At 42.2% G+C, this 15,091-nt stretch overlaps 1 pseudogene and 1 further gene; both read right to left on the bottom strand.

The window, feature by feature from the left end:
• Positions 1 to 15,091, bottom strand: part of UGT1A (UDP glucuronosyltransferase family 1 member A complex locus) — a 187,861-nt gene that overhangs the window by 163,648 nt on the left and 9,122 nt on the right.
• Positions 5,258 to 6,099, bottom strand: UGT1A11P (UDP glucuronosyltransferase family 1 member A11, pseudogene; annotated as a pseudogene).

The following is a 15,091-nucleotide window of genomic DNA, read 5'->3' as shown; positions in this document are numbered from 1 at the left end:
TCTGGATTGGTTCTACATTGCTTTGTCTTGCCAGTAAGAGACTGTCTTTGAAAGTTCTTTTGATTTTGGACAATGCCCCTAGCCGCCCAGAACCCACGAGTTCAACACTGAAGGTTTCAAAGTGGTCTACCTGCCTGCAAACCCAACATCTCTAATTCAGCAACAAAAGTTGGGGGATATGGTCTTTCAAGATATGGATCTGTGAAAAATTCAAGAACGAATAGACACCACACCAGAGGAATCAGCAGAAGATGACTTGAAGGAGATTGGTGCTTTTGAATCTGTACCAGGTACTAAAGAAGCCATAGAAGAAGCAGTGCCAGTAAACAAACTGCTATCAAAACTAAGGAAGGCTGGAAGCGGTTGCTCACGCCTGTAATCCCAGCACTTTGGGAGGCCGAGGCCGGCGGATCACAAGGTCAGGAGATCGAGACCATGGTGAAACCCCGTCTCTACTAAAAATACAAAAAAAATTAGCCGGGCGCAGTGGCGGGCGCCTGTAGTCCCAGCTACTCGGGAGGCTGGGCCAGAGAATGGCATGAAGCCAGGAGGCGGAACTTGCAGTGAGCCGAGACTGCGCCACTGCACTCCAGCCTGGGCGACAGAGCAAGACTCCATCTCAAAAAAAAAAAAAAAAAAAAAAAAACCAAGGAAAGTCTGAAAAACTGTCACAGGCTAGAGGAGATCAAACAAATGTGATGAGCAAATGTCATGTGGTATCCTGGATGGGATCCCAGAAAAGAACAAGGACATTAGGTGAAAATTAATGACATCTGAAGAAAACATAGACCTTAGTTCATCATAATATGTCAGTGTTGGTTAATGAGTTGTGATAAATGTGCATAGTAATCCAAGATTTATCAATAGGGGAAACTGGCAAAGGATATATGGGAATTCTCAGTGCTGTTTTTTGCACCGTTGCTTTAAATCTAAATTTATTGTAAAATAAAAAGTCTATTTTTAAAAAGACATCTATGTTTTTTCATGAGCAAAGATTTCAAAAGACAGTAACCAAAGAAGGTACACAGACGGCAAACAGGCACATGTAAGGATGTTCAACATAATTAATGATTAGGGAAATCAAACTAAAACTGAGGTTTAATCCATATCCCATTAAAATAGTTGCAATGAAAAAGACTGACCATATCAGATGATATAGCTGAGTTATCTGTCCCTCCCAAATCAAGTGTTGAAATTTGATCTCTAATGTTGAAAGTGGGGCTTAGTGGGAGGTGTTTGGGTGGATCCCTGATGAATGACCTAGTGCCCCCTCCCAGTAAGGAGTGAACTTCCCATCTATTCATTTCAGCAAGACCTGATTATTAAAAAGAGCCTGGCACCTGCCTCCTTTTTCTCTTGCTTCTCTCTAGCCATGTGATCAGCACCCTCCACCCTCACCTTCTGCCATGAGTGGCAGCAGCCTGAGTCTCTCGCCAGATGTGGGTGCTGGTGTCATACTTCTTGTACCCTGAATGAACCACAAGCCAAATAAACATGTATTCTTCCTAAATTAACCAACCTCAGGTATTCCTTTATCGCAATGCAAACGGACTAAGACATCCAGTGTTGGTGAGTGTGAACAGCTGGACCTCTCATATGCTTGTGGTGGGAGGGCACCTTGGTCTGGCCGCTTGTAAATGTTGTCTGGCAAATTCTCAAAAAGGTAACCATACACCTACCATAAGTCACAGCTATTCCACTGTTGGGTATTTATCCATAAGAATAAAATACTTCCTGTATTGTGTGTATTGTTTAATTTTCTGTATATTATGATATTTTCACATCTTAAAAATCCCTATCTGGTAGGGATGCAGTGCACCTCCCTGGGTCAGCCAATTATTACAGATAGCAAAAGGCCTGCCCTTAGAGCTCAGAGCCCACTGAAATTATTCAAACCAACCAATGCTAAACTGTTTCTCCTGCCCTATCTTGCCTTTCCTGCAGAAACTCCAGTAGAGCTATGGTCTAGCCTCTACCCTCATTCCTATTGCTTCTGCCTCCTGTATTTCAAGTCAAAAAGTGTACAAGGTACTACTTTGCCACAGCCACTACTTCCATTCTATAGCAGTCAGGGTTCAATGAGAGAAGTAAAGCTGCTGGGGATCCACATGATGAAGAATTCATCAGAGGCTACGAATATGGAAATATAGTAATGTAAAGAAAGTATTAAAGAGTGTTTACACAGTAATGTGCACAAAGACAAATTTGGAAAATGCCTAAATCTATCTCAACATTAATTGGTTGAAAAAACTACATTAAATCCAAAGTAAAGACTTTTATGCAATTACTAAAAGAACTTGTCAAATCAGTCTGCATCAGCCTCTAAAGATGTCTATAATTTATTGGCAAATTAAAAATGCAAAGTAAAGAACAATATGTTCAGCCTGCTACTAGAATTTATTTTAACAAAATAGGTGTGAGAATATACATTAGATATCTGCATATACATAAAATAATTTCAGAAAATGAAAATGATGCACACAAAACTACTAAGAGCATTTTCTATAGAATTAGCAATAAAGGGAAGTTTCATTTCTCACTGTGGTTTTTGGTATTTTCCCAAAAAGAGTATGTTTAAGTGCAACTGGATATGACCTACAAATAAAAAATTGCTGAGAGGTCCATGAAATGGCACAAACTGATTCACATAACTGGAAAAAAATTCCAAATGTGACAAATGAAAATGTTAACTCACAGTTCAGTAAGTGTTATAGTTTGGATATTTGTCCCCACCCAAATCTCATGTTGAAATATAATACACAATGTTGGAGGTGGGGCCTGATGGGAGGTGTTTGGATCATAGCGGTGGATCCCTCACAGCTTGGTGCTGTCCTTGCAGTAGTCGGTGAGTATTCACAAGATATGGTTGTTTAAGTGTGCAGACCACCCCCATCGACTCTCTCTTTCTCCTGCTTTTGTCATGTGATGTGCTCCTGCCTCACCTTCTGCCATGAGTAAGTGCTCCCTGAGGCTTCCCCACAATATGAACAGATGCCAGCACCGTGCTTGTGCAGCCTGCAAAATCTTGCATCAATTAAACCTCTTTTATTTACCAGTTACCCAGTCTCAAGCATTTCTTCATGGCTACACAATGAAGAATAGAAAATTGGTACCAACAGAAAATAGTACCAATAGAAAATTGGTACTGAGAGTGGGACATTGCTATAAAGATACTGAAAATATGGAAGTGACTTTGGAACTTGGTAACAGGCAGAGGTTTGAAGAGTTTACAGGACTCAGAAGAAGACAGGAAGATGAAGGGAAAGTTTGCACCTTCTTAGAGACTGGTTAAATGATTGTAACCAAAACGCTGATAAAAATATGGGCTATGAGCACCAGGTTGATGAGGTCTCATGTGAAAATGAGAAAGTTATTGGAAACTGGAGTAAAGGTCACCCTTGTTATGCCTTAACAAAGAACTTGGCTATACTGTGTTCATGCCTTAGGGACCTATGGAAGTTTGAACTTGAGAGTGATGACCTAGGGTATCCGGCAGAAGAAATTTCTAAGCAGCAAAGCATTCAAGATGTGGCCTGGCTTCTTGTAACAACCTACACTTAGATGCAGGAACAAAGAAAGGACTTCAAGTTGGAAATTATATTTAAAGGGGAAGCAGTGCATAAAAGTTTGGAAAATGTGCAGCTTCGTCATGTGGCAGAGAAAGAAAAAGCTTTTTCAGGAGAGCAATTCAGGCAGGACATGGAGCCACCACTTGTTAGAGAGATGTGCATAACTAAAAAGGAGCCAAATGCTAAGGCCTCAAAAGCATATCAGAGATCTCCAAGGCAGCCCCTCCCATCACAAGCCTTGAGGTCTATGAGGACTGAATGATTTTGTGGGCCAGGCCCAGGGCCCTGCTACCCTGTGCAGCCTCAGGACACTGCTCCCCACATCCCAGCCACTCTAGCTCTAGCCTCAGCTCAAAGGGCCCCAGATACAGCTTGGGCTGCTGCCTCAGATGGTGCAAGTCATAAGCCTTGATGGCTTCCATGTGGTGTTAAGCCTGTGGGTGAGCAGAATGCAAGAGTGAAGGAGGCTTGGCACCCTCCACCTAGATTTCAGAGGATGCATGGGAAAGCCTGGGTGCGCAGGCAAAAAGCCTGCTACAGGAGTGGAGCCCTCACAACAAATCCCTACTAGGGCAGAGTGGAAATGTGGGGTTGGAACCCCCACACAGAATCCACAATAAGGTATCACTTAGTGGAGCTATGAGAAAGAGGACCACCATCCTCCAGACCCCAGAATGGTATACCTTCTGGCAGCTTGCACCTTGCTCCTGGAAAAGCTGCAGGCACTCAACAATCTGTGAGAGCAGCTATGAGGCCTGAATCCTGCAAAGCCACAGGGTCATAGTTGTCCAAGGCTATGGGAGCCCACCCCTTGCACCAGTGTGTCCTGGATGTGAGACATGGAATCAAAGGAGATTATTTTGGAGCTTTAAGATTTAATGACTGCCGTGCTGGGTTTCAAACTCACATGGGGCCTGTAGCCCCTTTCTTTTGGCTGATTTCTCCCTTTTGGAATGGGAGCACCCAATGCCTGTACCTCCATTGTAACTTGGAAGTAAATAACTGTTTTTTATTACAGGCTGATAGGTGGAAGAGACTTGCCTTGTCTCTGATGAGACTTTGGACTTTGGAATTTTGAGCAAGTGATGTAATGAGTTAGATTTTGGGGGACTATTGGAAAGGCATTATTGTAGTTTGCAATATGAGAGGAACATAAGATTTGGGGGAGTAGGCAGGGGAGAAATGATACAGTTTGGATATTTGTCCCGTCCAAATCTCATGTTGAAATGTAGTTCCCAGTGTTGGAGGTGCGGCCTGGTAGGAGGTGTTTGGGTCACGAGGGCAGATCTCTCATGAGTTGATGCTGCCCTTGTAATAGTGAGTACTCACAAGATTTGGTTGTTTAAGTACGTGGCACATCTTCTCACTCTCTCTTGCTCTTGCTTTTGCTATGTGACATGTCTGCTTCTACTTTGCCTTCTACCACAAGTAAAAGCTCCCTGAGCCCTCCCCCAGAAGGTTTACTTGGCTCATGGTTCTGCAGGCTGTACAAGCACATACTGGCACCATGCTAGTACAGCCTGCAAAATCATAAGCCAATTGAACCCATTTTCTTTATAAATTATCCAGTCTCAGGTATTTTCTATAGCAATTCAAGAATGGCCTAACACAATGCAAAATCTTTTTTTATGATGCAAAGCCAGATTATTCTTACTACACTAAAGGAGAGATGACTTACCTTAGGCAATGGCTTTCCCTGATGGCAGCTGGTACCACTGATGAAGACTGTGTTGGGCATCACAGCTTTGGGATAGTCCAAAACAAAGTCAGTTCACAACAACCAAATTGATGTGTGGCTGTAAAGATCATATACGGTGACAGGTGTTTGGAGAATTTCAGAGACTATTTCTAGGGCATTTTTGAAAAAATGGGGCCAAATAAATGTTCCTTAAAGTGCAGGATGTGGTTCCGCACTCTCTCCTTGAAAGTCATGGCATCTGAGAACCCTAAGAGACCTCTGGGGACATAGGAAAGAGGAGCAGGGCACTGTGCACCTTCTTCAAGATAGTGGCAAAATATTCCCCTAGCGAAGACCACAGAGGGGAGGGAGAAATATTTGGCAACAATAAAGCCACAGGCATTAAAAGGATCCAGAAATACTGCATCAAAAGAACTCTCGTTTGAGTATCCTACTAATTTTTTGTCCTTAAACAAACTTCTACAATTTGAATAAAATAAGTCCAAAATACCACTGGATGAACATGTCACTAGAGGATATAGACTTTGTACTTGTGATTTCCAGTGAGAATCAGCGAAAACCATGAACTTCGGTCCAGATCCTCCAGAATGTATGAGGTTGAGTAAGTCTTCACTGTGCAGTTCAGTGATCTTCCCAGTTGCCAAGTCACCTCTGGCCTGACTACGACCACCTCATGCCCCTGAGAATGAGTTTCTCCACCACTGACCTCATGGTGAACCAGTGGCTCCCATCCATGGGCACTACCAGCAGCTTCCCTGCCTGGGCAAAGCCACAGGTCAGCAGCAGACACACACATAGGTGAAGGGGGCCGTTCCACCCAGCAGGAGCCATCAGAGAACTTCAGCCAAGAGTGAGCCAGCAGCTGGAATTCTAAGCTCCTATAATATTTGTAGGCAGGAGAAATACAGGCAAAACCTGCCCCCAAAAAGAGGCCGTTTATTTTCCTGTTGACCCCCCAAAAAAAATCACACATACTGCCAATGATTTACTCATAAGGATAAGAAACATGAGTAGCATTTGCTGAGATACCAACTTGTACATTTTCCAGGAAAGAGTAGCTTATGGTCTTTGTCTTGAGGGCAGATCATGCCCTGTGCTGCAATGTGAGTTTAGAAACAAAATTAAGCAGTGCTTTTAGAACTTGACGACTCAGAAAGGTAAAAAGGAAAGTAAATTTGAATAAAGCTAATGTTTTTGGAATTTGTCCCTGATATGGTTTGGCTGTGTCCCCACCCAAATCTCACCTTGAATTCCCACATATTGTGAAAGGGACCTGGTGGAGGTAATTGAATCATGGGGCCAGGTCTTTCCCGTGCTGTTCTCCTGATAGCAAATAAATCTCATGAGATCTGATGGTATTATGAGGGGAGTTTCCCTACACAGCTCTCTTTGGGTGGTGCCGTCCATGTAAGATGTGACTTGCTCCTTCTTCCCTTCCACCATGATTGTGAGGCCTCCCCAGCCATGTGGAACTGTAAGTCCAATAAACCTCCTTCTTTTGTAAATTGCCCAGATGCAAAGCAAAATGTGGATTTTAGCTTGAGACAACCAAATGCCCTCTGCCCAGAAAGGAATTGGCATTTCATGGCCCAAGGAAAGACAGTAAGGTCCTTAGCATTGACCTCCTACCTGACAGGAAATTGTGACTCACCTGCATCTCTGCAATGCATAGGCATTGCTGCTTTTAATCTTCCATTCCTAGCTTCTGAAATGCTATAATGAGATTGACAACCCTGCTTCCATGGACCCTTCCATGGATTTTTATAGAATGTGATTGTCACCTATTGTAAATGGCTTTCTTCAGATATGTTGCCTGCAGTGAGGAGTCACTGGCCCTATGCTTTCCCAAGTACTCTGCTGAGCTGCCTCTCTCTGCCTGCTCTGCTTCCACATTCTGAACAGAGCTGTAGGCCTCTGCTGTGGGCTTATTCCACTGGCCTTGTGCCTCCCTCGGGAATATATGTATTGGTCTGCCCCAGTTTCCTGAGTAGTACTTCATGTTGAGGTTATGTCTTGTGTTTTCATCCTCCTTCCACTGCACCCATGCTATGCCTTGCACAGAGGAAATCCATGGGAATACTTGTTGCATTGGGCTGAATCACATCTTGCAGGTTTTCTCAACACCTTCATGGGTGAGCTCAGCAGTGCATGTCAGGTTACACTCTGAAGAACATTTAGTGAGGGATTCTGCAGCAAACCTCAGGGCATAGTTCTTGTAGGAGAACAAAATGTCTCCTTCCAGGACACCCTAACTGATACTAGACATTTGCTCAGTCACCTTTTAACTTGGTAACTGAGGCACTTGCAGATGGCTGCCCTTGAAAAATAAAAATGACAGTGAGTAATTTATCTTCCCTGGAGGCTTACTTCAGAGCAGAAATCAATGAAATAGAAAACAGAAAATCAATAGACAAAATTAAAGAAACCAAAGCTGGCTTTTTGAGAAGATCAATTATCTTGATAAAGCTCTATCTAGCAGACTGATCAGAAAAAAAGAAAGAAGAAATAAATTATCAATATCAGTAATGAGAGAGGTGGTATCACCATATATTCTACAAATATTAAAATGATAACAGAATATCATGAACAAGTTTATGCCAATAAAGTCTAAAACACAGATGAAATGAACATATTTCTTTAAAGGCACAAGCTCCCAATCTTCTCACTAGAAGAAATAAATAACCCAAATAGAAGTAACTAATATCTTTTAAATTGAATTTGAATTTGAAATTTAAACTTTCCCACCAAAAAAGTGAAGTTCAGATGACTTCCCTAATGTATTCTACTAAACAATAAAGGAAGAAATAATACCAAATCCTCACAGTCTAGTCCAGAAACCAAAAGCCTATGGAATTTCCTAATTCATTTTAAAAGACTAGCATTACCAAAATATCAAAACCAGATAAAGACACTATAAGATAGAAAAACTACAGACCCTCATGAACTTAGAAACAAAAATTTAAAACAATATTTTAGCAAATCAAATTCAATAATATTTTAAGTATATAATACATAAAAAGATCATAAACTACAAGCACACGGGGTTTATCCCTGGGATGCAAGGCTGGTCTTAACTTTAGAAAATTAATCAAGGTTGTACCACCATGTTCATAGCTGCGTAACTCACAACAGCCAAGAGGTGAACTCACCCCAAGTGCCCATCTGCAGATGAATGCATAAGCAAAATGTGGTAACAAAGGAGTAAAATTCAGCCTTAAAGAGGGAGGAAATTCTGACACGTGCTACACCGTGAATAAACCTTGAGAACTTTGTGCTAAGTAAAGTAAGCCAGTCACTAAATGACAACTGCCATATCATTCTACTTGTATGAGGTATCCAAAATAGACAAATTGATAGAATCAAAAAGAGGAATGGTGGTTGCCAATGAAACCACATTTGCAAAATTATGACTGAGACAGTGAAAGAGATCTAACTTAAGTGACTCCATCTTGCCTCTAACCTTCAAGTTGTGCTTGTTATTCCTGGGCATAGGCTGAACTACCTTTGGGAGAAACTTAGTTTATAGTTTTATAAAACAAAGACAGTAACAGCCCTTTCCCAAAGCAGACCTCCTTCTTGCCTGGGGACTAGACTGCATTTGTAGGACTAACATCAGCCACAGGATTAGATATCATGGTTTAGGATTGATGCAGCTGGAGGCTACAAGATTCTGACCCTCCCTAAACTGCTCCTAAGATCAGTGCTTGAGATATTTTGCAGACCCAGCACTTGATGGATCAGCTGGCAGCATCCACATAGATAAACTGGCTCATCTGATCTGTGGCCACCACCCAGGAACTGACTCAGCACAAGAAGACAGATTCAACTCCCTAAGATTTCATCCCTGACCGATCAGCACTCCTGGCTTACTGGCTTCTCCCAACCCACCAAGTAGTCCTTAAAAACTCTGCTCCCTGAATTGCTCAGGGAGATCGATTTGAGTAATAATAAAACTCCAATCTACTGCACAGCCAGCTCCACATGAATTACTCTTTCTCTGTTGCAATTCCCCTGTCTTGATAAATCAGTTCTGTCTAGGCAGCAGACAAGGAGAACCCCTTGGGTGGTTACACTAAGGGCTTGGAGGAGAGGGGAATGGGCAATTATTGTTTAATGGGTCCCAAGCTTCAGTTTGGGAAGATGAAGAGAGTTCTGCAGATGAATGGTGGTGTTGGTTGCAGAGCAATGTGAATGTACTCAATATTGAACTGTGCACCTAAAGTGGTGAACATGATAAGTGTACGCTATGCGTATTTCAACATAATGAATGATAAATAATCTTTAAAAATAAATCAAAGTAACATACCATATAAACAAACTAAAAAAGTATAACCATGTAATGATCTCAATAGGTACAGAAAAAGTGTTTGACAAAGTTCAAAATCCATATCTGACAAAAAAATTTATCAGCAAAAGAAGGAAAAAGAGGGAAAGTTTCCAAAACTATTCAGGGGCATCTTAGAAAAACCCACAGCTAACATCATCCTTAATGGTGAAAGACTGAAAGCTCCACTCCTCAGATCAGACACATGCCAAGGATGGGGGGCTAGTTACTACTTCTATTCAACATTGTTTTATTCAATGCAGTCAAACAAGAAAAAGAAATTTAAAATATCCAGATTTGAAAGAAAAAGTAAAAAGATCTCATTCACAGACAACGTGATCATCTATGTGGAATTTCCAACAAACTACAACAACCTCCAAGAATAGATAAGTAAGTTTAGCGTTGCTGCAGGATACAACAAGTAAAAGTTAATTTCATTTCTATAAACAGTTATTCATGAACATCAAGAGTTTCAATGGTGTTGGTCCATTTATAGGCAGATTTGTTGCAATAAATATATTAGAAAATGTTATGGAGATTTGCAACAAATTGAAAAGACTTGCAGATAAACCACATAGCCTACAATAGTGAAAAAATTAAGAAAAAGTTTAGTGTGTCAGGAATGCATAAAATATATACAGTAACTAGTTTATTTTATCATTTACTACCATAATATGGACACAAATCTATTTTAAATAGTTAAAATTTATCAAAACTTATACACACAAACACAGACTATACATGACACCATTTGTAGTCAACAGAAAAGTAAAAAAAGTAAGGTTGCAGCATTAAGTCATAAGTGCATAGAGTTAACTGTGCCTACTGTACTATTGCGATAATTTCATAGCCACCCCCTGTTGCTATTGCAGGGAGTTCAAGTGTTGTAAGTATCCACTCAGAACGCCACGTGAGGCTGATCATCTCCATGTGTGCAGTTCATCCCTCCAGTAAATTGTGTATCATAGTAAACACTGATCTCACAGTTCTCATGCATTGTTTGTCATGTTTGCTGCATATCAGAAACCCTAAATAATACCATGGTGCCCATACAAAGTGTCACTAGTGATGCCTCAAGTGCTCCCATGAAGCAAAGAAATTCATGATATTATAATGAAAGTTGAATTGCTTGACATGTACCATAGGTTGAGGACTGCAGCTGTGGTTGGCCATCATTTAAAAAAAAAAAAATGAAACCAGATAAGGACCATTGTTAAAAAAAGAAAAGAAAACTCACTAAGCCATCACTGCAGTGAGGCCAGCAGGCTTCAAACCTTGCACTTTTTCCAAAATACCTTTTTATCTCATATTAAAAATGCAGCTTTTCAATCTCAGTAGACTCCACTGCCAAGGTAGAAACAAGGATATTCAAAGAGTTAATGGATAAAAATATCTAGGATTCCATCCATGGGTTAAAGATTAATAGTGAGAAAGGTCTTTCTGAGAAACTGGCAGATTTTTTTAACCAAGTGAAGACTCTCATATATCCTAAGTGTTTAAGGAGTCTCTTGGTGGTAACAGTAATGACAGCACCACGGTGTGCACAGTCCACACGGAGGAATAAGTTCTTTACAGCCCCATGGGAAGTCCTCTGGACCCTATCAACAAATCCAAGAGCAAAAGTAGAATATTAAGGTAGGAAAACAGTCCAGATTGTTGGGGAAAGCTCACATATTTCAGAAGAAAAAGACTGAAACTAGAGTCATTATATCCATAGATAAGTTGTCAAAGATTAATTCTGTATCATGCTTATCTAAATAAAATTTTATTATAAAAATGCAGCTTTTATGTGGGCACAGGCTTGTTACAAGAAAGGCATACCTACATTCTCTACTATGACCTGAGAAAAACAAAGTCATTATATAACAACACAAAGCTAAATAAAGGTGAAGGATATGAAGCTGGAGAATTTAATGGCAGCAAAGAATGGTTTGCTAGTTTTAGGAAGAGGTTTGGCTTTAAAAATGTCAAGATAACAGAAGCCATATGCAGCAGATGAGTTCCCAGAATTCATGAGGAAAAGCTTCGAGGAGAAAGAATATCTGCCCAAACTGGTTTTTAATTCATGCAAAAGTGCCCTATCTAGAAAAAAAAATGCCACAAAGGACATTTATTAGTAAGGAAGAGAAGTGGGCACCAGGATTTAAGCCAGGAAGGGATAGGCTAACTCTATTGTCTTATGCAGATGTTGGTTCCATGCTTCTTGTACAGCCTGCAGAACTGAAGGCTGAACATCTCTTCTTTATACATTAGCCAGTCTCAGGTATTCATTCATAGTAACACAAACAGACTAAAACACCAGGTGCTTGTGAGCAGGAAGAGCTGGTCCGTTCATATCCTGGTGGTGGGATGGCACAGCTACTTGAGAATATTGTTTGGCAGTTTCTTAAAAAGGTAAACATATACCTATCATAAAGCACAGCTATTCTATTGCTAGGTATTTATCCATGAGAAAAAAAAAGAGCATACTTCCTGTATTGCATGTATTTGTTAATTTTCTGTATATTATGATGTTTCCACATCTTAAAATCCCTTTCTGGCTGAGAATGGAGTCCCTTTCCAAGCCAGCCAATTATTAGAGAGAGCAAAGGGCCCAGCCTTATAGCTCAGAGCCCACTGAGATTATCCAAACCAGCCAGTCCTAAACTCTTTCTCCTGCCCTGCCTGTCTTTCCCACAAAAACTGTAATAGGCCATGGTCTAGGCTCTCCTCTTGCTCCTGTCCCTTCTGCCTCTTGCATTTCAAGTCAAAAAGTGTACAAGGTGCCACGGTGCCACAGCCCTTACTTCCGACCTATAGCAGTCAGGGTTCAGTGAGAGAAGCAGAGCTGCTGTGCATACCCATGGTGAGGGATTGGCCAGATGCATGGTGGTAGCTGACTGGATGATCTCTGCAAACTGCCTTGGTGTCTGATGCTGGAACTTAAGGACCCCAGGGTGGGTCTTCAGGCAGGGCAGATGGATGTAAAGTGGGGACAGCGAGGAGAAGCTAGGTCCCACAGAAGGGACTGGAACTCGGGTTGTTTTCACTGCCTCCAACCTTGATGAAGAAGCTGACCTTTCTTGATGACTCCTGTATTAGTTCGTTTTCACACTGCTAATAAAGACATACTTGAGGCCGGGTAAATTATTTTTTAAAAAGAGATTTAATGTGTCCTGGGCCCAGCCCAGGAAACCATTTTTTCCTCCTAAGCTTCTAAGCCAGTGGTGGGAGGGGCTCCCATGAAGACCTCTGATGTGCCCTGGAGACATTTTCCCCATTGTATTAGGGATTAACATTTGGCTCCTTATTACTTATGCAAATTCTGCAGCCTGTTTGACTGCAAACTTTCTGAACCTTTATGTCTGCTTCCCTTTTAAAACGGAATGCCTTTAACAGCACCAAGTCACCTCTTGAATACTTTGCTGCTTAGATACTCACAGCTCCACATGGCTGGGGAGGCCTCACAATCCTGGCAGAAGGCAAAAGGCATATCTTATGTGGTGGCAGGCAAGAGAGAAAATGAGAGCCAAGTGAAAGGGGAAACCCCTTATAAAATCAGATCCCGTGAGACTTATTCACTACGAGGAGAACAGTATGGGGAAAACCACCCCCTTGATTAAATTATCTCCCACTGGGTCCCTCCCACAACACACGAGAATTAGGGAGCTCAAATTAAAGATGAGATTTGGGTGGGGACACAGCCAAACCATATCATTCCACCTCTGGCTCCTCCCAAATCTCATGTCCTCATATGTGAAAACAAATCATGCCTTCCCAACAGTCCCCTAAATCTTAACTCATTTCAGCACTAACTCAAAAGGCCACAGTTCAAAGTCTCATTCCAGACAAGGCAAGTCCCTTTTGCCTATGAGCCTGTAAACTCAAAAGCAAGTTAGTTATTTCCTGGATACAAGGAGAGTATAGGCATTGGGTAAATGCTCCCATTCCAAATGGGAGAAATTGGCCAAAACAAAGGGGCCACAGGCCCCATGCAAGTCAGAAATCCAATAGGGCAGTCGTTAAACCTTAAAGCTCCATAATGATCTCCTTTGACTCCATGTCTCACATCCAGGTCATGTTGATGCAAGAGGTGGGTTTCCATGGTCTTGGGCAGCTCCGCCCCTGTGGCTTTGCAGAGTACAGCCTCCCTCCCGGCTGCTTTCACAAGCTGGTGTTAAGTGTCTACAGCTTTTCCAGGTGGAAGCAGTCATTGGATCTCCAATTTTGGAGTCTGCAAGATGGTGGCCCTCTTCTCACAGCTCCACTAAGCACTGCCCCAGTGGGGACTCTGTGTGGGGACTTCAACTCCACATTTTGCTTCTGCACTGCCCTAGCAGAGGTTCTCCATGAGGGGCCGCCCCTGCAGCAAACTTCTGCCTGGACTTTCAGGTGTTTCCATACATCCTCTGAAATCTAGGCAGAGTTTACCAAACCTCTGTGCACCCGCAGGCTCAACACCACGTGGAAGCTGCCAGGGACTTGCACCCTCTGAAGCCAGGGACTGAGATGCACCAGTGGCTGGGACACAGGGCACTAAGTCCCTAGGCTACACACACCAGGGGTGTCCTGGGCCCAGCCCAGGAAACCATTTTTTCCTCCTGAGCATCTAGGCTTATGGTGGGAGCGGCTGACATGAAGACCTCTGATGTGCCCTAGAGACATTTTCCCCATTGTATTAGGGATTAACATTTGGCTCCTTATTACTTATGCAAATTTCTGCAGCCTGCTTGACTACAAACTTTCTGAACCTTTATGTCTGTTTCCCTTTTAAAACTGAATGCCTTTAACTGTACCCAAGTCACCTCTTGAATATCTTGCTGCTTAAAAATTTCTCCTGCTGGCCGGGCACAGTGGCTGATGCCTGTAATCCCAGCACTTTGGGAGGCCAAGGCAGGCAGATCACGAGGTCAGGAGTTTGAGACCAGCTTGACCAACATGGTGAAACCCATCTCTACTAAAAATACAAAAATTAGCTGGGCATGGTGGTGTGCACCTGTAATCCCAGCTATTCAGGAGGCTGAGGCAGGAGAATTGCTTGAACCTGGGAGGCGGAGGTTACAGTGAGCCAAGATTGCACCACTGCACTCCAGCCTGGGCGACACAGCGACACTCCATCTTAAAAAAAAAGAAAAAAAAGGACATTTCTTCTGCCAGATACCTTAAGTCATCTCCCTCAATTTCAAAGTCCCACCAATCTCTGGGGCAGGGGCAAAATGCTGCCAATCTTTTTGCTAAAACATAACAAGAGTCACCTTTGCTCCAATTCACAACAAGTTTCTCATCCCATTGTCCATATCATTATCAGCATTTTGGTCAAAGCCATTCAACAAGTCTCTAGAAAGTTCCCAACTTTCCCACATTTTCCTGTTTCCTTCTGAGCCCTCCAAACCCTTCCAACCTCTGCCTGTTATCCAGTTCCAAAGTTGCTTCCACATTTTCAGGTATCTTTAGAGCAGCACACCACTCTACTGGGATCAATTTACTGTATTAGTCTGTTTTCACACTGCTGATAAAGAG

This window comes from Homo sapiens, chromosome 2 (assembly GCF_000001405.40).
Source record: "Homo sapiens chromosome 2, GRCh38.p14 Primary Assembly".
NCBI classification, from domain to species: Eukaryota; Metazoa; Chordata; class Mammalia; order Primates; family Hominidae; genus Homo; species Homo sapiens.
Note: the sequence above shows the minus strand (reverse complement) of the source record. Positions and strands in the feature narration are given on the sequence as shown.